The sequence below is a fragment of the Homo sapiens genome, chromosome X (assembly GCF_000001405.40).
Source record: "Homo sapiens chromosome X, GRCh38.p14 Primary Assembly".
In the NCBI taxonomy this organism is placed as follows: Eukaryota; Metazoa; Chordata; class Mammalia; order Primates; family Hominidae; genus Homo; species Homo sapiens.
Window position 1 is genome coordinate 109,429,023 of NC_000023.11, and position 23,984 is coordinate 109,453,006.

A 23,984-nucleotide genomic window follows, 5' to 3' on the forward strand; every position below is an offset into this window, starting at 1 on the left:
GAATTGTCTATTTTAGTTCTGACCTTGATCCCCCTTCTGGACTCATGTCTCATTATCTTGCCTTCATCTCCAAGCATTACAATCACGTGTAAGAAAAATACCAAATTGGCTGGGCGCGGTGGCTCACGCCTGTAATCCCAGCACTTTGGGAGGCTGAGGCGGGCAGATCACCTGAGATCAGGAGTTCGAGACCAGCCTGACCAACATGGTGAAACCCTGTCTCTACTAAAAATACAAAATATTAGCCAGGCATGGTGGTGGGCACCTGTAATCCCATCCACTCAGGAGTCTGAGGCAGGAGAATCGCCTTGAACCCAGGAGGCGGAGGTTGCAGTGAGCTGAGATCGCACCATTGTACTCCAGCCTGGGCAACAAGAGCGAAATTCCAGCTCAAAAAAAAAAAAAAAGAAAAGAAAGAAAGAAAAATACCAAATCATAACATCTCTTCCTAACCTATAGGGCATGTCCTATCTTCCACAGGCCACATGTCTTCCATTTCCTTTGTTTTCTCACTTGTTCAGTGCTCTGGAAGTAGCAGTTGCCTCATTCAGATTTGTTGGAATGATTTGAAATTGCTCACTTCATAAATGTAGAGCAATCTGTGATTGCCTTTTAAAATTGCACTTTCAAGAACCTGAAGGGACCCAAGATAGTATTCACAAGTCTTGTATGGACTCAGTCTAAGGAGGAGCCAAGATTTTAAAATGGCTTAGGAAGGATCATCAGTATCCCTGCCTTATCTACAGGCTGCTTTCTTAAGCAAGCCATCCAAGGACTCCTTGAACATAATTAGTGGGATTAGGGAAATAACCACTTTTCAAATAGAAATTACCAGGTGACTGGAAAATGAAGATTTGGAATGGTGATGGGATATTTACTTGATAATAATCATAATAGCTACCACTTGATAAAGAAGCTATGTGCCAGGAAATGCGCAAGATGCTTTACGTGTATTGTCTCTTAAAATCCTCATCCAACCTAAAGGGTAGACATTAATATAACCCTTTTGTAAATAAGGAAACTAAGACTTAGGGAGTTTAGATGACTTGCCCAAGTTATTACAGCTCTTACATGGTAGAGCCGAGATTTGAGTGCTTCATGTCTCTTTGACTCCAGAGCACATACCTTTGCCATTGCATGATATGATCATACCAACCCATTAGCAACCCTGCAGTTTCCCTGCACTGATTTGTTAAGGGGTCTTCCTAAACAGCTCTGATGTTAGTTACTTTGGAGAACAGATTTATTTTAGTGGGAATTTACATAAACGAAGATTTCTCATACCATTTCGAACACATCACTTGCTCTTGATTTGATGGACTTAAGGTCTCCAAAATCTCCAAGGGAGAACTTTTTCAGCCACACCCAATCACCCTAGAAAGAAAAGGAGGAGAATGAATAGTGATGAAACTTAGTTGCCAGCAGTTTTAGAAAAATGTCCCTTCCACATAAAGGGTTTATACCTATACCAGCAATCCAAATAGACATTTTCCTTCTCTCCCACCCTCCACCTCACAGACATTCTGCATTCTGAGCTGAAATGAGGTCATGCACAGAAGTTAAACTTAAAAATTACAGTTACTCAAGACAGGGAAACAATTGCAAGTATGTAGACTCCAGAAACGGAATGATACCACTCTTTGCAAAGCCTTTCTTAACTAACTGCAGGAAGTGCTAGGTCATTTCACTTTTTCATAGCTAAATGATGTAGCACCAGGTTCCCTGCGATTAATGGTGATAGTTAGTGGTTGCAATTCCCACTGCCTTGAGGCGTCTGTAGAGGGAAATGTAGGGTGGGAGATGTAGTGCAGCAAATGTTTCCTGCATTTACCTTGATCCATTTTTCTCTCGTGGGACAGGCCATTCGTGTGTGTGTATGGAGGGGGGGCTGTCTTATGCTTTAGTCACAATCCAATTGTCTTTAATCTAGATTAAATATTTTTTATTTGAGTGCTCAATGTACTACCATAGTAATGTGAGTAATCTAGAGTCTTCCAAAAGTCTATTTCTGACTTATTAAGTAAAAAACTGCTATTTTAAGGCTTCTGTCAAGTTAAAAACAACAACTATTTTATTGTTTTCACTTCAACACCAGCGCCTGATAGATAACCTTTTTCTACGTGCATAGCCTCAAGGATTCATCAGTCATAAAGCCCTATTTAGTTTCCGTCCAACCCAAATTGTTTTAAAAAAAATATCAATATAGATTCTTTTTTCTCCATAATAGTAATAATGCCTTACATTTGCACAATGCTCTCTACTTTTCAAAGTGCTTTCACATCCATTACCTACAGCCTGGAGATTCCATTTCGGGCTGCACCAACTTGTCATCAAGTAGAGATAATAAAGCAGAGGGCACTGTGCAGTCAAATTCCAAAAATAAGAGTGTAACCGGGCCGGGCGCGGTGGCTCACGCCTGTAATCCTAGCACTTTGGGAGGCTGAGGCGGGCGGATCGCGAGGTCAGGAGATCGAGACCATCCTGGCTAACATGGTGAAACCTCGTCTCTACTAAAAATACAAAAAAATCAGCCGGGCGTGGTGGCGGGCGCCTGTAGTCTCAGCTACTCAGGAGGCTGAGGCAGGAGAATGGCGTGAACCTGGGAGGCGGAGCTTGCAGTGAGCGGAGATGGCGCCACTGCACTCCAGCCTGAGCGACAGAGCTAGACTCTGTCTGGAAAAAAAAAAAAAAAAGAGTGTAACCACTCTCTTATTAAGGAATATATCCAGCTATGGCACTGCATCTGGAAACCTGCCAGAGGCAAAGGCTAATGGAAGCTGCAGGCTTCCGAGTTACCTGCCAGCACTTTGTATTAGCATTTACTAGCCAAGGAGCTCAAAGTCCTTTAACTAAGAAATGGCCCTCAGAGACCTTCAGCAGCTGGAAAAAAAAAAAAAAAAGAAAAAAAACTGCACTGGCCAGGCTCAGTGCCCAGAGAGTTCAGAAGGGTAGTACCGGATCAGTGCCTGCCTGCAGCAGAATGGTCAAAGCATTTGATCCAGTAAATCTCCAAGTGTGGTCCCTGGACCAGCTGCATCAGCATCACCTGGAAACCGGTTAGAAAGGCCAATTCTCAAGCCCCACCCAACACTTAACGAAATCAGAAATCGTAGTAGGGTGAGGTCCAGCAAACTGTGTTTTAACAAGCCCTCCACGTGACTCTAATACAGGTGAAAATTTGTGACCCACCATCCCAGCCTTTGCCTTTTCCTCGTATTTATGGAACTCTCCTCACTCACACTCTCTTCATTTACCTCTTACTACGTTTCCTTCATCAAAATCTGCTCTCAGTCAGGGATCGAAAAGTCATTCACAGAAGTCAGGAGGGCCTGACACAAGCTTGAAGTTTTACCCTTCAGAGAACTTTGTCCTTTAGCGGGATCAAAGGCTACCTATTAAGCTGAAAGAATAAAACTCTAACCGAAAATTTATGGAATCAGCCTATGTGTGGGAAAGACTGGTGAACAAAAAAGCCTTCCCGGCACCTTTGCAGCTATGTTACTGAGCCCATGGTCACTGCTAGCCACTATGGCACCTTTGTGCTAGTTAGAAAGGGTATTTTCTCTCAAATTTAAAAAATCTTAACTTTGTGAGTATATCATCATACAGCCTGTGGCAGCCCTGTGATGTTAGGCAGCACACCCTGGCTGTATACATACAAGTACCATACTCTCATTTATGGATACATCCCCCAGACACCAGGGAGCACATTCCACTAGCAGCATGGATGCTCTGCACATCACCAAATTCTATCTGCCCAGTGAAGCCTCCTTGTCACCTTTGGAGTCAGGCTTTAGGAGAGGGGGTGAGAAGTCGAAATTGGTTCTCTGAGAATATTAGGCAGGAGAGAAAAGCAACCTCAAGAAACTTCTGGAACATAGTCAAGATAGTACATACCCAGCTACACATGAGTTTACCAGTGATGATGTATGTGCATAGCTGGGAGTGCCAGTATAGATGTAGATGTGAGAAGGCTCTTCTACCACCTCATTCCAGAACTAGGCTGGGAAGCCAGAATCTCTGTGCCCACTTTGGTACCACTCACGCATAAATTGGCATATGTTACAATGTGAATATTACCCTCTTAGATGTAGTTCCCTTTTGCAGTACACAACCTGAACATCAGTACTCGCAGTCCTGACTCTGCCTCAAACCTGGTACCTGATACCTTCTTCCTAGAGCCAGCCCTATTGCAAACATGGGCTAGCCTTCTGTCTGGCTTATTAAGTGCCACGAGCAGCTAAGCAGAGCTTTTTCATGCCAAATCAACAACTGTGAGAGCTGGAAAGGGTCATAGGTATCCATAACACAATCCCTTCATATTTTGATAAAGAAACTGAAAACTTAAGAGATTAAGTGACTGTCCCAAGGTCAGAAAACTAGGTAGTAAAAGAGCCGCAAATTGACCCAAGGTCTTCCATCTCCTACTTTGTTGCTCTTTCCTCTCGTTAGGCTTTCTTTGGTTTGGGAGATTTGTGTGTGTTTGTTTTAAGATTTAAATAATTCTCACAAACTTTGTAAGCAAATTTTTATTGAGTCTGTGTGAGTTCTACTTCATGAATAATGAGGAAAAGGGAGGAAATGGGCAAGTTTTATCTTCACCACACATGCACTATTTGTTTTGTTTTTTTCTTTTAAGAGAGAATGATAAAATACTTCACTCATCACTCACTTTTTAATTAAGAGCAAGAAACATCAAACTCTATTCACTAAACTTTTTAGAAGTAATTTAAAGTCCATCAGTTTTGAACTAAAGCCACGGTGTATTAATAAGGGGAAAGAGCACTAGATCCTAGACCTGGCCCTGCTTCAAACTCAAGGGTGGCCTTAGAACAGCCACTCAATCTGCCTGAGCCTCAGTTTCCTCACTGATAAAGCTAGACTTACTAGATGATTCTTTAGGACTTACTAGGTGATTTCTGGACTTACTAGATGATTTTTTAGCTCTGATGATCTGCGATTCTGTGATAAGAAAGAAAAGATGGTTGACGGAAGGGAGGCGGCAGGGAGAGAGCTACAAGGGATATAGAATGTGAGAAGACAGAAAAAATGATCTGAGAAAGAGAGATGAATGGAGAGAGAGAAAGATGAGACAAAGAGGAAAACACAGGGAGAAGCAAAGAGGAAAGAGTAGTCAGAAAATGAAGAGGGAAGATGAATTCAGTGGGTTCTCTCTGAATGTGTCAGGGTTACACTGCTGCCCACCACACCCCATCTCACCCAGACTGTAACTATTAGAGCAGATCCTGACATGTCCCCACTGCATCTGCCATTCACAGCTCTTTCTGCCTGGCAGTCCGCTCATCTGGCTTTCCTTTCACATTTCAAAGGCTATCTGTGAAATAAGGGCTGATTTTCCCACACAATTCCAAAGGTTATGCATCTGTGTGTACAATAAAAGTGTGAATTTGTGTGAGCGTAGTACAACGTGATGGCATGTCCTAAACCTGTCTTTTGCTATATCTGCTACTCCGGGCACCTTATCTGGAAATTCCAGGTCTTCCAATGACAATTCTTATGAAAATTTAATTTATTTTCTCCCATTTTGCAGGTTGCCTGTTCACTCTGATGGTAGTTTCTTTTGCTGTGCAGAAGCTCTTTAGTTTAATTAGATCCCATTTGTCAATTTTGGCTTTTGTTGCCATTGCTTTTGGTGTTTTAGACATGAAGTCCTTGCCCATGCCTATGTCCTGAATGGTAAAGCCTAGGTTTTCTTCTAGGGTTTTTATGGTTTTAGGTCTGACATTTAAGTCTTTAATCCATCTTAAATTAATTTTTGTATAAGGTGTAAGGAAGGGATCCAGTTTCAGCTTTCTACATATGGCTAGACAGTTTTCCCAGCACCATTTATTAAATAGGGAATCCTTTCCCCATTGCTTGTTTTTCTCAGGTTTGTCAAAGATCAGATAGTTGTAGATATGTGGCGTTATTTCTGAGGGCTCTGTTCTGTTCCATTGATCTATATGTCTGTTTTGGTACCAGTACCATGCTGTTTTGGTTACTGTAGCCTTGTAGGATAGTTTGAAGTCAGGTAGTGTGATGCCTCCAGCTTTGTTCTTTTGGCTTAGGATTGACTTGGCAATGCGGGCTCTTTTTTGGTTCCATATGAGCTTTAAAGTAGTTTTTTCCAATTCTGTGAAGAAAGTCATCGGTAGCCTGATGGGGATGGCATTGAATCTATAAATTACCTTGGGCAGTATGGCCATTTTCACGATATTGATTCTTCCTATCCATGAGCATGGAATGTTCTTCCATTTGTTTGTATCCTCTTTTATTTCATTGAGCAGTGGTTTGTAGTTCTCCTTGAAGAGGTCCTTCACATCCCTTGTAAGTTGGATTCCTAGGTATTTTATTCTCTTTGAAGCAATTGTGAATGGGAGTTCACTCATGATTTGGCTCTCTGTTTGTCTGTTATTGGTGTATAAGAATGCTTGTGATTTTTGTACATTGATTTTGTATCCTGAGACTTTGCTAAAGTTGCTTATCAGCTTAAGGAGATTTTGGGCTGAGACAATGGGGTTTTCTAGATATACAATCATGCCGTCTGCAAACAGGGACAATTTGACTTCCTCTTTTCCTAATTGAATACCCTTTATTTCCTTCTCCTGCCTGATTGCCCTGGCCAGAACTTCCAACACTATGTTGAATAGGAGTGGTGAGAGAGGGCATCCCTGTCTTGTGCCAGTTTTCAAAGCCAATGCTTCCAGTTTTTGCCCATTCAGTATGATATTGGCTGTGGGTTTGTCATAGATAGCTCTTATGATTTTGAGATACGTCCCATCAATACCTAATTTATGGAGAGTTTTTAGCATGAAGGGTTGTTGAATTTTGTCAAAGGCCTTTTCTGCATCTATTGAGATAATCATGTGGTTTTTGTCTTTGGTTCTGTTTATATGCTGGATTACATTTATTGATTTGCGTATATTGAACCAGCCTTGCATCCCAGGGATGAAACCCACTTGATCATGGTGGATAAGCTTTTTGATGTGCTGCTGGATTCGGTTTGCCAGCATCTGACAAAGGGCTAATATCCAGAATCTACAATGAACTCAAACAAATTTACAAGAAAAAAACAAACAACCCCATCAAAAAGTGGGCAAAGGATATGAACAGACACTTCTCAAAGGAAGACATTTATGCAGCCAAAAGACACATGAAAAAATGCTCATCATCACTAGCCATCAGAGAAATGCAAATCAAAGCCACAATGAGATATCATCTCACACCAGTTAGAATGGCAATCATTAAAAAGTCAGGAAACAACAGGTGCTGGAGAGGATGTGGAGAAATAGGAACACTTTTACACTGTTGGTGGGACTGTAAACTAGTTCAACCCTTGTGGAAGTCAGTGTGGCGATTCCTCAGGGATCTAGAACTAGAAATACCATTTGACCCAGCCATCCCATTACTGGGTATATACCCAAAGGATTATAAATCATGCTGCTATAAAGACACATGTACACGTATGTTTATTGCGGCACTATTCACAATAGCAAAGACTTGGAACCAACCCAAATGTCCAACAATGATAGATTGGATTAAGAAAATGTGGCACATACACACCATGGAATACTATGCAGCCATAAAAAAGGATGAGTTCATGTCCTTTGTAGGGACATGGATGAAATTGGAAATCATCGTTCTCAGTAAACTATCGCAAGGACAAAAAACCAAACACCGCATGTTCTCACTCATAGATGGCAATTGAACAATGAGAGCACATGGACACAGGAAGGGGAACATCACACTCTGGGGACTGTTGTGGGGTGGGGGGAGTGGGGAGGGATAGCATTAGGAGATATACCTAACACTAAATGACGGGTTAATGGGTGCAGCACACCAGCATGGCACATGTATACATATGTAACTAACCTGCACATTGTGCACATGTACCCTAAAACTTAAAGTATAATAATAATAAAAAAAGAAAAAAGAAGAAAAAAAAGAAAATAAACAATAATGAAATAACAGCAAAAAAAAAAAGAAAATTTGATTTATTTTAAACAGAAACTAGACAATGGGTCTTCTTTAAAACATTCCTAATAGAGTACTGTTTCAGAAGACACACTACTTCTTTGTTTCATCTGTTAATGCGATTGGCTTATGTTCCCTCTTTGAGTCCTCTTTAACCTCTTTAGTCAGTCCTCTTTAGTCAGGCCAGTTTTCTAGCCTCAGCTGCCTTCCTTCACACCCTGCCATCAGCCTAATATTGACTTCACCGTGTAGGTATTATTCTCATAACACCCTCCTTTTGTAAAAATAAAGTCCCCATTTGGCCTACACGATTTGGCCTACACCATTTAGAAATACTCATGATCTGACTGACCAATAGTCATTCTGGGAACTAACTTAGCTCTCTGCCTCCTTCCAAAATGTGAAAAGATCTGACAGACTCTTAAAGGCCAGTTACATACAGATGTTTATTTTTTCCCCTTCTCAATTCTACACTATAACCTTCCAGCCCCACCAAGTAAAACATACCACAATTTAACACATAAATTATTCCACAGAATCAGAGAATGATAGCATATTCAGCCAGAAAAGGCCTTAGAGATCTGTTAGACCAGCAATTCTCAACCCAGGCTGCACATATCAGAGAACTTTAAAAAAATACCAATACCTGGCCCCACCTCATGCCAACTGAATCAGAATTGCTGAGGGTGGGGCCTGGGAGCAGGTATTTCTTAAATTTCTCCAAGGAGATTCCAGTAAGCAACCAAGATTGAGAACTTAGTTCAACCCTTCATTTTACAGATAAAAACCAAGGTTATGGAGATTTACTTCAGAATCCCAGAGGTGTCAATACATTTCTAAAGCCATCAGCTCATTCCATTTGACATTCAAAAGCCATCTGATTACCCTATCTTAGGTCTTTGAGAGAGTAGAGCTGACAATTCCCCAATACCTCAAGTTTACATTTGAAGCAGTTCTCCTCTTTGATTGAATTAAGTCCAAGGCAAGATCCAGAGGTTTCCTGCTACTAATTTAAGTCAAAGCCCTCACATAGACTGAACAAACATACACCATGCCAATGTTGGTGTTGAAGGCCTATAGTCCATTTGTGCTGCTATAACAGAATTCCTATGACTGGGTAATTTATAAAGAGAGGAATATATTTCTCACAGTTCTGGAGGCTGGGATGTCCAAGATCAAGGTACCAGCAGGTATGGTGGTCTGGTGAGGTCTGTTGTCTGCTTTCAAGATGATGCCTTGTTGCTGCATCCTCTCCCAAGAGGAGGAACACTATGTCTTCGCATGGCAGAATACAGAATAGCAAGCTAGCTGAAGGCTGCATTAAGCCTCTTTTATAAGAGCCTTAATATCATTCACAAAGTAGAAGCCCTTGTGGCCTAATTACCTCTTAATGTCCTCACATCTTAATATCATCACATCAATCTGTGAAATCAAACAAATCATGTTCTTCCGAAATACAATGTTGGGATATGCACAAGATAAACATTTCTATTCCAAAAATGAGAAGTAGGCAAGAAGAAAGAGGTAACAGGTCCAAAGTAATTCCAAAATCCAACAAAACAAACAACATTAAGTCTTAAGTCTTGAGAGTAATCTTTGACTCCATGTTCCAATTCCCAGACACACTGGGGTGGGTGTTGGGCCCCCAAGGCCCCAGTGGATTCCACCTTCATGGCTTAGCTGGGTGCAACCCATGCCACAGCTCTCACAGGTTGGAGCCAGTATGACTGCAGCTCTCCCAGACTGGCATTGCATTCTGGTGGCTTTACAGGTCTGGGGTGTCAAGGGTGGCCATGTCCCAAAGCCCCACTAAGCATTGTACTAGTGGAGGATCTTTGTGGTGGCCCTGACTCCACAGTTCTGCTGAGTATTGCCCTAGTGAGGACTCTTTGCGGTGGCGCAGACCCCAAAATTCCACTGGGTATTGTTCTAATGGGGACTCTCTGCAGTGGCCCTGCCCCTGTGGCAAGTCTGTGCCTGGGTCCTGAAGCTGTACAAGACATCCTTTGAAATCTAGATGGATGTATCCATGCCTCCATACCTCTTGCACTCTGAGAGCCTGCAAAGTTGGCACCGCGTGGATACTACCGAGATGTATGGCTTGCATCTTCCAGAGCAGTAGGCCAAGCCACACCTTGGACCAGCTGAGTCACAACTGGGAAGGCCAAAGAGCCCTGCACTGAAATATGGGAAGCAGAGATTTGAGTCAGCCCCAGGCAACAAGCCCTGGGATCTCACAGGTGCCCTGGACCGCATCAGTGTCCTGGGCCTCTACTTTGAAACCAGTTTGACCCTCAAGGCCCCGGCACTCTGGGCCTGTAATGGACATGACAGCTTTGAAGATCCCTAAAATGTCTTTGGGGTCATTCTCCCATTCTCCCGTCATCTTGATGAATAGCATCTGGCTTCCTTCTATCCATACCAATCTCCTTATCAAACTTTTTTTTTGTCACACTCTTGGTTTTCTCTCCTAAACATACTTTTTCATTCTTCACATGGCAAGGCTGAGAATTTTACAACTCTGTATGTTCCGATTCCCTTGTTTTTTTTTTAAATACATTCTGTCTTTAAGTCATTTCTCACTTTTTGCATCTTACTATAAGCAGTTAAGCTATTCAGCACCCTGAATGCTTTGCTGCCTAGAGATTTCTTCCACCAAAAATCCTCATTCATTGCTCACGAATTCTACATTCCACAGGGTCCTAGAACATGGACATAATTCAGCCAAGTTATTTGCCAATTTATAAAAAGAATGCTTCTTTTCCAACTTCATTCCTCATTTCCATCTAAGACTTCCTCAAAATTGTCTTTAACGTACATATTTTTACCAATGTGGTCATTCTGTTCACGACCACTTAAGTAATCTCCAAGAAGAATCAGGCTTTCCATACAGTTCATCTCTTCTTCCAAATCCTCACCAGAATTTCCCTTAGCACTCCACTCACAGCAATCAAGACTTTTTCCAGCATTCCCTTCAAAAGTGTTCCAGCCTCTCCCCATTACCCAGTTCCAAAGCCACTTCCACAGTTTTAGGTATTTTTTTGTAACAACCCACTGCTCTGGTACCAATTTCTGTCTTAGTCTGTTAGTACTGGGTAATTTATAAAGATCAGAAAATTATTTTTTACAGTTCTGAAGGATGGGATGTCCAAGATCAAGGTGCCAACAGGTTTGGTTGTCTAGTGAGGGCTGCTCTCTGCTACAAAGATGGTGCCTTGTTGCTGCACCCTCCAGAAGGGAGGAATGCTGTGTCCTCCCAGAGCAGAAGGTAGAAGGGCAAATTAGCCAAACACTGCATGAATCCTCTTCTATAAGGGTTTTAATTCCATTGATGAGAGAGGAGCCTTCATGGCCTAATCACCTTCTAAAGGCCCCATCTCTTTATACCATCAATTGGCCATTAAGTTTCAACACCTGAATTTTGAGAGGGACACATTCAAACCATAGTAAGGTCCCTGTCAATTATTTATCTAATGGAGAAGAGTATTCACTTGAAAAATCCAATGTGGTTGACAATCTAAAAACTCATTCTGTCCTGTTTTGGACTTTCTTTGTAGTTACTGTTAAGTTGAGAGTGTTTGCTGCTCTTGGGAGTATCTTCAAACAAAACAAGGAAACCACACTGAGAAGGCCTCACTTAGAAGGAACAGAAAGGCAGTCTAGTTTCCCTTTTACCCCCTGCTTAACTCATTCCTGCTGAGAAGAAACAGTTCATCTCTCTGATGCAAGATTTGTTCTGGTTGCCAAATTCTAGTATCTTAGATCAGGTGGTACAGGGTGGCCTCTTAAAGCTTGAAACACAGAAACCTCAGTGGAATAAAAAGGATTTCTATTTTCAGCAGCAGAAAGTAACCTGTTACTCCAAGAGGCAGAACAGGTGAAGAAAAATAAATAACTGAATAAATTTTAAAGTCTCAGTATCAGAGGATAACAAGTACAGGAAGAACAACTAGAATTTGAAGAGAAGGGTACCCCAAACCCTGCCATGCACACGCATGTCTCTAGACATCTCATTACAAACAATAGACTCAGGGAGTCATTTCTTCTATTGTTATCTATATATCTTCTGGAGTGACAGACACATTTAAATGTTTGGGTCTCAAGAACTTTTTTCTACATGCATAGTAAATACATGGAGTTGAAAGATCAGTGAAGTTATAAATAAGTAGATTTGTTGCTGAGGAAAATAATTGCTAAGAATGTCAACCAAACGAGTCCATAAGCAAACACAGACACCAAACTGGAAAGACTTGCCAAAAGCCCCAGTATTTTTACCCAAAGACTAATTACTAAATCATTGCCTCATTTTGAAATCCAAGAAAGCAGTAGATTAGACAGCTGTTGAATATCTTACCTCATAAATCGCTATGTTGGAGTTTTCATAGGTAGCTGGAGTTAGACTCCCTGAAGAAAAGGAGAGTCTTGGGGACCTCCCACTTTGGACCTCTGAGGTAATCTGGAAGCTTACACTGGCACGACTTCCTCTCTGTGAAAGGATTAGGAAAGAAAAGTTATGACCAAAATACTCATGATTTGGCACAGAGCTTATCTGAATTTTCTTTTTTATTCCTAAGAAAATAACCATATGAGTTGAACCCTGTAAACATGAGATTGATTCATTTTCCCTATCCTTCTGAACTTTTTTTTTCAGTTCAGTGTTGGTACCCTGTTTAACCACCATGCAGCACCAAAAAATTATAAAGGTGCTTCCACCTCCTAGAGAGGATTAAAATACAGATGGGGGCAAGAAAGAATGCCAGTCATAATTTAATCTGGGACCCTCACTTTATAGACAAAAAAGTAAGACCAAAAAAAAAAGATGAAATAAGTTTCCTAATATCATATAGCTAGTCAATTATTTAGTTACAAGATTATTGTTTGTAAAAATCTGACATTTAAAAAAAATCTATAGCAGACCTAGGACAGCATCCCACCTTGCTGACTCTCAGGAGTGGCTCTTTTTGTGATACTATGCTGAATGGCATACTTCTTTGTGCAGATAAGATTAACGGCAGAGGGTATCCCAGAAAGCAATAATAGTAGAGAGTGAGCAGATCACATGCCTATATATAATTTATGAGTCTGATGCTTAAATAGGTCACATTCTCTATTTCTTGATTTTTGAACTTGCACACATAAGTCTGGTAGGAAAGGGCTCGGAACTGCACAGTTGAATGACAAGAGGAAGAGTTACCTGCAATCTGTGTTAACCTTTAAAATTGAACCTCTGTATCTTCAATTGAACCAGTAGACTTATTTCACATGAAGACATATAAGTCAACAGGTTCCTCATATTCTCCATACCTCCAAATGTGCCTTTCTTAGAATTAAAGCAATCCAGAGCTAGCCGTTACCTTTTGGTATTGTCTAGGAGTGCCCCTACCCTCAACTCCAACATCCTTATTTTATAATTAGGAAACAAAGACCTAGAGAAGTACATCGGGACTGGGACAAGAATCTTGGTATTATATTTTCTAGTCCTGTGCTCTCTCTACAACTACATTATGCTTTATTTTACTTTGCTTGCCAATAAAAATTAATCTTAACTACTTCCCAACACTCTACCCCTTAATAGTCTTTGATCAACTAAAGATTACACCTTAGTAGTCTTTGATCAACTAAAGATTACACCTGAGTTAGCCCAGAGTTAAGCTCCTTCTATGAAGACTATCACAAAGTTCCAAGACAGTGGTAAACTCTACCCAGCCCGCAATGTGCTGAAATCTCAACAGCTCAAAATTCAGACAAGATGTAAAACTTGACTCTTCACATAACCTCTGTATCAACCTGAACACTCCCCAACAGAGCAAGGTCAGGGAGGAATCTATTTCCCTTTCATTCTTTATTTTCATATCTCAGCAGGAGTACCTAGATCTGTATATTGAGATATAGACCTCTCCATGAAGGGCAAAGGAGAAAGTGAGAGAATTGCCAAAATCCACACACATTTTGACTTCAGATTCATTTTCTTCTAAAAACTTCCTTTCTTAACCTGACTTCTCCTAACCTGCCAATTTTTCTAGACAGAATTAATTTTATATTCACTAAGAGTTTACACTTTCAGACATTCCGTTTGGATGGAATTCTTGGCTTGGCTTCTTGACTGATTAGGCACAGCCAGCTGCAAGTTTGTGACTACACAGCAATTAAGGAAAATGTATGCTTCCCCTATCTTTTCCCATCAGAACCTCCAATACAAGCCAAATGCCAAAAGGGATCTGGAGGCCAAGAGCTATGTTCTTCTAGGGTAATGCCATCCTTTTCCACCTCGGCCAAAATAGTAAAAAAAATAAAATGAAATAAAACAATTTATTTTTTTTTATTTACAAAAGAACATTCCCTACTATAAGGCTACCCATCCCTTATAAGAGTATACCAATCCCTTAGTAACGGTAATAGCCCTCTTACTATTCATTTTTCTCACTCATATGGTAAAAAGTGATGACTTTTTATTCTCATGTCAAAATTTATGCACAAGTGAAAAAAACTATCATGGTGAGCAAGATTTTAAAGCCCTAGGTACTTTGTTTACCTGAAGGTAGCACTGCTTAGCTATTTATGGTAATTTTGTGAGGCCTGGTATGCTTTAGTCACCCAAATATGGTTTATGTCCCAGTATAAAAAAGAGGAGGCATAGGTGGAGGTCTTATAGACTACACTGGACTATTGCAAAGCCTATACAAATAAAAGCCTCATTCAATCCAAAATTGAGCTATGTGTATCATTTTGATATGTTAGAGCTAAAACATCTAGGCAATTGATATGAACTGTCATTTTGACATGGATACCACCAAAGAAGTGGGGATTTTACAAATAGGTTTATTGCTTTTGACTGAAACTTTACTATATTTTGCTACATTTAGACAATAACTTCTAGTCATCTACTTTTACTACTAAACATCCATTTCTCGATAAAACATCCTGTCACAAAAGTGAATACTTTTTTCTTAGTATTGGGTTATATATTAGGATTGCTTCCTAGCTTGTATTTTAACATCTATACTTTCTACTTAAGGCAGGAAATTTTATACAAGGCATGTTGAGTATGGCAAATCCAGACAAATTCCACTACCATGAGTCCTAGGGTCCTTTGGTGTCTCCAAAAATGGGGACTAATATCAACAAATTTTTATGTCACAAGGGTGGAATGTAGGCTTCAGCCACAGTGACAGTTTTGGCTTTCAGCAATATGTTTCCAGGAACACAATATTAACCTTACAAAAAGATCTGATGATTTAAATAAGTAAGAATTAGGGTTATAATTGAAAATTAAATCAAACAGCTGAACAATTAATTTGACTCCAACTGCTCAGGGTAGTACCATGTAAATCCATTCTCACCCAGCCAACTAATTAAATATACCTTTCAATTTCACATTCAGGCAGAAGAGCAGTTTGGTCACTGAGACAACAATTAATTCTCAAATCTGGCACAGTTGTGTAGCAAGAGTAAACGGCACATGAAGACAACATAATGTATTTGTATACTTTTCCTACATCCACTACCATACTATAAATTACAGTCTAGTGTCTTTACTGTGGCCACATATACTAGCACAAGAAGACACACTAGCTAGCTTTGACAGTACTCTTCCCTACATATTCTCTTCTCCAAGCTTCTGTTTATACTGTTTCCTCTGCCTAGGACACCTCGCCTATGGGGCCAGACAGGTAATATAAAGACGTGAAATATGCTGAGTATAAGACAATATAGAGTGGTGGGAATTGTATCAAACTGCAAAGAACACGCCTTTTCCACAAAACGCAACTACTACTGAGTTATAGCCGATTGTCATGATGAGATCCAAGGTTGACAGATCTTAAAACTTTTAAAGAAAACTCAGAAATCCAGATTTTTATATGTAATTTCACAATTTCAAAATTCTGGCTTTTTTTTAAATAACTGTGAGGGTGAAACAAAGGTGGTTACCAGTTTGTGACCTAAATAAACCCTATCATTCCTTCATTGACTCAGTTTTTGTGCTGAGTTTCTGAAAAGCCTCCCTCCACTGATATGCCTCCTCTGAAGTCCTACCACATTCTAGTTTCTTCGTACAACATGGTGCTCATTGTCTCTCTTGTGTGGTATGATTTGTCTCTCTAACTTAACTGTAATCCTCTTGAAATCTGGGACTACATGTCATCTTTCACAAGGCCTAGCCCCAGGGGTAGGACATAGAGGCACACCTTTAATGAAGATCACCAATTACATTACAATCACAACCAGAGAAGACCTTTTGGTGAAATCCAACTCTTTCACTAGTTGTTTAATTCACCAAACCTTCACAAGCACCTACTATATTATAAGCATTATGTCAGGCTAACATTTTAAAAAATATATTGTTGCCCTTGAAGAAATAGCCATCAAATGTTGAGTCCAAATAAACAAAGAACTACATAAAGTCAAAGCTAAACTATTGCTCCAAGTGCACTGCATTCACTTCCACAACACTGTTCTAAGGCTGCACTATTTAATAAAAGTGTAACATGAGCCATATATGTAATTTTAAGTTTTCTAGTAGTCACAATTAATAAACAAAAGGAAACAGGTATCCCAGGGATGAAGCCCACTTGATCATGGTGGATAAGCTTTTTGATGTGCTGCTGGATTTGGTTTGGGACATATCTCAAAATAATAAGAGCTATTTATGACAAACCCACAGCCAATATCATACTTAATGGGCAAAAACTGGAAGCATTCCCTTTGAAAACGGGCACAAGACAGGGATGCCCTCTCTCACCACTCCTATTCAACATAGTGTTGGAAGTTCTGTCCAGGGCAATCAGGCAGAAGAAAGAAATAAAGGGTATTCAGTTAGGAAAAGAGGAAGTCAAATTGTGCCTGTTTGCAGATGACATGATTGTATATTTAGAAAACCCCATCATCTCAGCCCAAAATCTCCTTAAGCTGATAAGGAACTTCAGCAAAGTCTCAGGATACAAAATCAATGTACAAAAATCACAAGCATTCTTATACACCAATAACAGACAAACAGAAAGCCAAATCATGAGTGAACTCCCATTCACAATTGCTTCAAAGAGAATAAAATACCTAGGAATCCAACTTATAAGGGATGTGAAGGAACTTTTCAAGGAGAATTACAAACCACTGCTCAACGAAATAAAAGAGGACACAAACAAATGGAAGAACATTCCATGCTCATGAATAAGAAGAATCAATATCATGAAAATGGCCATACTGCCCAAGGCAATTTATAGATTCAGTGCCATCCCCATCAAGCTACTGATGACTTTCTTCACAGAATTGGAAAAAACTACTTTAAAGTTCATATGGAACCAAAAAAGACCCTGCATTGCCAAGAGAATGCTAAGCCCAAAGAACAAAGCTGGAGGCATCACACTACCTGATTTCAAACTATACTACAAGGCTACAGTAACCAAAACAGCATGGTACTGGTACCAAAACAGAGATATAGATCAATGGAACAGAACAGAGCCCTCAGAAATAATACTACACATCTACAACCATCTGATCTTTGACAAACCTGACAAAATCAAGAAATGGGGAAAGGATTCCCTATTTCATAAATGGTACTGGGAAAACTGGCTAGCCATATGTAGAAAGCTGAAACTGGATCCCTTCCTTACACCTTACACAAAAATTAATTCAAGATGGATTAAAGACTTAAATGTCAGACCTAAAACCATAAAAACCCTAGAAGAAAACCTAGGCAATACCATTCAGGACATAGGCATGGGAAAGGACTTCATGTCTAAAACACCACAAGCAATGGCAACAAAAGCCAAAATACACAAATGGGATCTAATTAAACTAAAGAGCTTCTGCACAGCAAAAGAAACTACCATCAGAGTGAACAGGCAACCTACAGAATGGGAGAAAATTTTTGCAATCTACCCATCTGACAAAGGGGTAATATCCAGAATCTACAAAGAACTTAAACAAATTTACAAGAAAAAATCAAAAAATCCCATCAAAAAGTGGGAGAAGGTTATGAACAGACACTTCTCAAAAGAAGACATTTATGCAGCCAACAGGCACATGAAAAAATGCTCATCATCACTAGCCATCAAAGAAATGCAAATCAAAACCACAATGAGATACCATCTCACACCAGTTAGAATGGTGATCATTAAAAAGTCAGGAAACAACAGGTGCTGGAGAGGATGTGGAGAAACAGGAACACTTTTACACCATTGGTGGGATGTAAACTAGTTCTACCATTGTGGAAGACAGTGTGGCGATTCCTCAAGGATCTAGAACTAGAAATACCATTTGACCCAGCCATCCCATTACTGGGTATATACCCAAAGGATTATAAATCATGCTGCTATAAAGACACATGCACACGTATGTTTATTGAGGCACTATTCACAATAGCAAAGACTTGGAACCAACCCAAATGTCCATCAACGATAGACTGGATTAAGAAAATGTGGCACATATACACCATGGAATACTATGCAGCCATAAAAAATGATGAGTTCATGTCCTTTGTAGGGACATGGATGAAGCTGGAAACCATCATTCTCGGCAAACTATCGCAAGGACAGGAAACCAAACATGGCATGTTCTCACTCATAGGTGGGAATTGAACAGTGAGAACACTTGGACACAGGGTGGGGAACACCACACACCGGGGCCTGTCGTGGGGTGGGGGGAGGGGGGAGGGATAGCATTAGGAGATATACCTAATGTAAATGACGAGTTAATGGGTGCAGCACACCAACATGGCACATGTATACATATGTAACAAACCTGCACGTTATGCACATGTACCCTAGAACTTAAAGTATAATAAAAAATAAATAAATAAATAAACAGGTAAAATTAACTTTAATAATATACTTTAACCCAATATATCTAAAATATTTAATTTTGACATTTAATTAACATTTTTAATTTTTTTAATTTTTTTTTTAAATTTAATAAGATATTTTACATGTTTTTATACTGTTTTCTAAACCCACTGAGTACTTTACTCTTATAGCACATCACAATTCAGACTAGCCACACGTCAAGTGCTGAGTAATTATTTGTGGCTTGTGGCTACCATGTTGGACAGGGCAGCAAAAGAAGAGGATACTCCTTACCTTACTGCCAAAGTGGGGATTGATAAACGTTACATCCTCCAAAGTCAGTAGAATTCTATTGGGTCCTTTGATCAACTGGATTTTATTTATACGACGCCTAAAACAAACATGAAATCAGAGGGTCACAAGGGACTGGGTGTTTTGGCAAAGCCAGGGTTAATTTGCCCTAAGATAGCACTTAAAGAATATACAAGGTATACAAGGTAATTGGGAGGATAATCACACATGGATTTTTACCATAGTACCCACAGGAAAAGAAGGAAGCAACCCTGGCCCGCACAACTTGCAGTTACAAAGACCAAAAAAGAAAAATTAAAATGCTCTTGAAGAGGCACCAAAAGAGAGGTGCGAAGGCTCTGCATGGGAATGGTATCTCAGGCTAATAAAATGGTGATCCCACATCAAGGACACATTCAAAACAACACCTCTGAATACATTTAAGGAACTCAACACCCTTTCTCATATGCCATAGTATTTATCCTAATAATACCAGGGCCAAGAATCATTAATCTCCATTTTATAGACAAAAACACATTAGAGAAACAAAACAAAATTGAGCAAATTGGCATGAGATCTCCTAGCCTGAGGCAGAGCTGGAACTTGAATCCTTACTCCCTGGCTGTGGGCCCAGATTTCTGCCCATAAGACACTTGTCTTGTAAAGTTGCATCTATGTGTTGCCAAAGCAACAGGTTGAAAAGTGGAAAAATTCAGTCAGTTGGTTGCTTTGTCTACATGATTCCAAACAAGTAGGCTGACTGAGTTTTTTTCTTTTACTGAATTGGTCTCTTGTCTGAGCATTACAGACACAGTTTAAACCCGATTCTCTCTAAACATGCCCATTAATTTGTAGTGAATGTAATTATTTTCTACAGGTCAATTACTAGACATATAGGAGTTTATGATGTGTATTCACGCAGTCAGGTAGGTCTGACTGGGTAACTTGAAGACCTGGAGGGAATCTTGATTAGTCGGTATGCTCGTTTTGTTGTTTTGTCTTGGGGGCTCTGACAGCTACAATTTGGCTTTGCTTTTTCCATAACCCCATAATGGTTACTCTGTGGAATGTGTTAAAGCCAAGAGCCATGGTGGAGAAAACAACCACTGAATCAAAATGCTTCGTCAAGTTGCTTTAAGGAGAAGTTTACAATGTCACTGCAGCTTTAAGTATCAGCAACTCAGTTTTTCTCAGTGATTCCACTGGTTTGTAAACAAACAATTAACGTGTTTCTAATTGTCTGCCAACAAATATGTCCCTTATCACTGTGGGAGCTGCTGCCCTGCAGAGAAAATTAAAAGAGCCCTGTAGTGGATTCTTGGGTAGAGCACATGAATCTTTTGGCAAAGTACAGCATCACTCCCTAACTGATCTGTTTCATATGTGTGGTGAATTGTCTTAAAACAGGCACACCTGTAAAAATAATCATGCTACAGAGTACACTCTAGTAGAAAGCAAACTGGACTCCCAATCCAGAGACCTGGGGTGTGGTGCAGATTCTGCCATTAATTAGCCAGGTCCAGGTGACCTTGGATAAATAATTTATCCTCTTCATGGCTCAGTGTCCTCATCTATCTAGCAGGATAATAGTCCTTGCATTACCTGCTTTATAGAGTTGTTTTGAAAATCAAATCAGATAATGTATGTGAAAGTGCTCTGAAAAGCATAAAGCATTATAAAAGTATGAGGGATCGTTATTATCATTATCATCATTAGTATAACAAAGCGCGGGAGAGCTTTATAGAAAGGCGATGCAATCTGGTTCCAGAGGAGTAGAGAGAAAGGAGGAGTTCAAAGAATCCTTTGTTTTGGGGTGGTTGGGTTCTTTGCATGTCTTTCTTTCTGAAAAAAAACTTAAACAATCAAAACATACAGAAAAGGAAGGAACAGAGAGTTACTCTCCTGCAAGTAATCACCGTCTATTACAGAATCTCATCAGCTGCTCAGCTCTTCTGATTGCAGCCGTGGTGGGCAGAGAGAGGGAGGAAGGCAGCAAAGAGGGGGTATCTTTTGTGCTTTGTTAGCTGAAGAACCAAGGACCAAGTGAGTCTGGGAAATGATGTACCTCTTTCCCATCTCTGAGTTTTCTGTGACCATTTGAAGTACGAATTGTCTCAAACTCATTTTCCTCTCCAATCATTTTCCTCTCTAATCATGTCCCTCTCCAATAATTTTCCTCTCCAATCTTTGCCCTTCAGCCCACAAGCTTCAAACAAACCCCTCCCCACTGTTTTTTTCTTTTCTTTTTTCCTTCCTTTTCCAAGAATTGCAGACTAGGCTCACTCAAAGCCCAAAGAACCAGTCCATACAGTGGGAAAGACCAGTGAAAACTGTCAGTTGCGGCGGTTGACAAGTAACATAAACAGCTGAGTGATTCCATTTCCCACATTGCCATGGGATGTTTTGGCATTAGGTAGACAGAGTCTGTCACTCCTCAAATCTCTCTAGAGAGGGAAGCTTTTTGATTGGATAGAGTTTATTTTTGCTAAGAATCTAATGATGTTAATTAAATACTTTATTCTTTGGCAGCAGCTAAGTTAAAGATATTAAATTTCTGTTCTTAGCAGGAATATGTCCCAGTTACAGAAATTAAAAGAAAAACTTCCTTTGAACTAGTGTCTTTATCAAGTGTTTTAACAATTCATAAGTTACCTACGACTCTGTGCGACTTTATCAAATTTCTAATACTGGGGAAATTGGATAATAGAAGTTTTCACAGCTATGCTAACATTTTAAACACTAAGAGTAACAACTGTTATGGTTTCAATCCAGGATTTCCCAGACTTATTAAAATATCAGAGCTGGGAGGGCTCTTAAACATCATCTAATCCAATTTCTTCATTGCGCAAATAAGAAAATTCCGGCCAAGAAAGGTTAGGGGGCTTACCCAAGGTCACACAGCTATTTAATACACTATAGAAATTTTTTTCTTACAACTCACCAAAACAGCCTCACTCCATTCCCTACCAATCCATGACATATTGTTGTCAGGACCACCCTTACTAAGAGGTGACAATGATGTGGTTTGCAGGGTAGCAATGGGAAAATGGGATGGTTATAATTTATTTTATTTTTCACTTTCCCCCAATTATTCCAGTATGGAGAGGGTCCAAGTGTTAAAATGCAAAGTTTATAGGAAAGAGGTGTCATGTTAGGCCATCTTCAGCCACTTATCCCTGATTCTGAAGTAGCTCATTAGATTATTTGATCATGTACTAAGGGATCTGAGAGAGGAAGACAAAACTTGATGATAATAAAGATGTTGATGATTAGACAGGATAACTTTTGCCCAAGGAAGCAAGATGGTAGAAATCTAGAATGTGATACCCTGGACAAAAGGCATGAGTATCAAAGTGAAGATCCTGAGCTTCCAACAATCAGCAAGAGAGTTCCTTGTGTCTGGGAAGGGGTTGAGATTTTACCATTTATTGAGCACCTACTATGAGTCACATATCGTTCTAGGTGCTTTACTTATTTTAGTTTACTTAATCCCCATTATAATCCTATGAGTTCATACCATTATTGCTAGAGCTTGGATTCTAGCAAAATCTGCCTAATTCTTGGAATTCATTAAAATATCTCAATTCCATTCCCTATCATCACATATCATTTGGGCAAGGAGATGGTTATAGGAGACTCTGCTAGGAGAAAGGAGAACAACGATAGGGAGTAGACAGGCCCTAAAGTACTAGTTCTCTTATTTCACCATTGTGTTGAGAGCCAGATCTATTCACAGGCAACAACACTGACAACACAGCTGAGGAAGTTATTCTTGGCATCATGAAAACACTTCACTCTAAATGGGGCCTGTAGGAATGGTAAACCACTGTGGAAAAAAGAAAATCAGTGGGTCATGTAATGAGGCAATTGTACCGAAACAGGACTTCCTGGAAATCAGTATTAACAAGGCTAATATGGGCTTGTATTTTTTATATACAAAAATAACAAAAAATGTACCTTATAAAGTAAGCAAATCCATTAATAGACAGCAGGGCTATAAGCAAAGTAAGGCAGACCATCATGGCAAAGGCAGGGTCGATGCCTGCAGAGAGTGAGAGGAAGAGGAAGAATGGCATTATCAGAGAGAGGCAGTAAATAAAGGGCACCACAGAGTGACTCCTCATGCTTTCTGGTGACTCTAATATCAAGCCACATCTACCTAACCTAATTCCATTTTTTCTCAGCACAGTCTGTCTTGTTGACTTTATGGACACAGAAAGCAATTTCACTGTTGTGAAGCAAAACCACTAACCACTCTGACAATAACAAATCACATGAATTAAGGCTGACCAGAGTGTTTCTTTGGAGGAAAGAGTCCACAAATGGAAAACTTTGAGTACCTTAATTTAAGTTGGACAGCAATAGAGTTCTTGAGAATAAATATGTTATCTCACCTGTGAAAGTTAAGTATTATCTTGCCTTCATAAAATAAAAGGCCTTTTTAATTCACCTGAGCCCATATGAGTTATAGATGAAAAACGTGGTACTTCTCCTTCAAGGGTGAGGGTAAGTCTGGTTTTGATAATTAGTGTTTTCATCAGAATGTAAATTAGTCTCCATAAAATCTAAATATTTGGATAGATTAGTAAGATTTTTTAGGGAAATATGATGTGAGTGAAGAGGTAGTTGGGTATATCATGTTAAAGCAAAGTAGAAATCAAAGCCCCTTTCAAATAGATGCATTTGGTTTTAAAAGTGTATGGTATACAGTTGCATAATAACAATATGGGTCCTTCCAATGATCCCCTCTGGCTCTGAGAGATTGGACAAAGTTTCCCCTCTTCCACAAGCTAGAGGAGTTCCACCAGTCAATCAAACTGCAAGTATTTACTGGATACCTACTGTGTTGGGCAGTTGGGCAGCATAAAAATTATTAGCTATGGTCCCTACCCTCAACAAGCAATATATTTGGGAGTGGAAGTGGAGAGACAATCAGTACAC

General features: G+C 39.8%; 1 protein-coding gene across 1 annotated transcript in view; it reads right to left on the reverse strand.

Moving 5' to 3' along the window:
* GUCY2F (guanylate cyclase 2F, retinal) overlaps nucleotides 1-23,984 on the reverse strand; it is a 109,181-nt gene that overhangs the window by 56,117 nt on the left and 29,080 nt on the right. The window contains exons 5-8 of the mRNA NM_001522.3: nucleotides 23,001-23,085; nucleotides 19,047-19,143; nucleotides 12,329-12,460; nucleotides 1,285-1,374 (exon numbers count right to left, since the gene is read on the reverse strand). Coding sequence (NP_001513.2) covers nucleotides 1,285-1,374; nucleotides 12,329-12,460; nucleotides 19,047-19,143; nucleotides 23,001-23,085 — 404 coding nt within the window. The remainder of the gene's footprint in view (nucleotides 1-1,284; nucleotides 1,375-12,328; nucleotides 12,461-19,046; nucleotides 19,144-23,000; nucleotides 23,086-23,984) is intronic.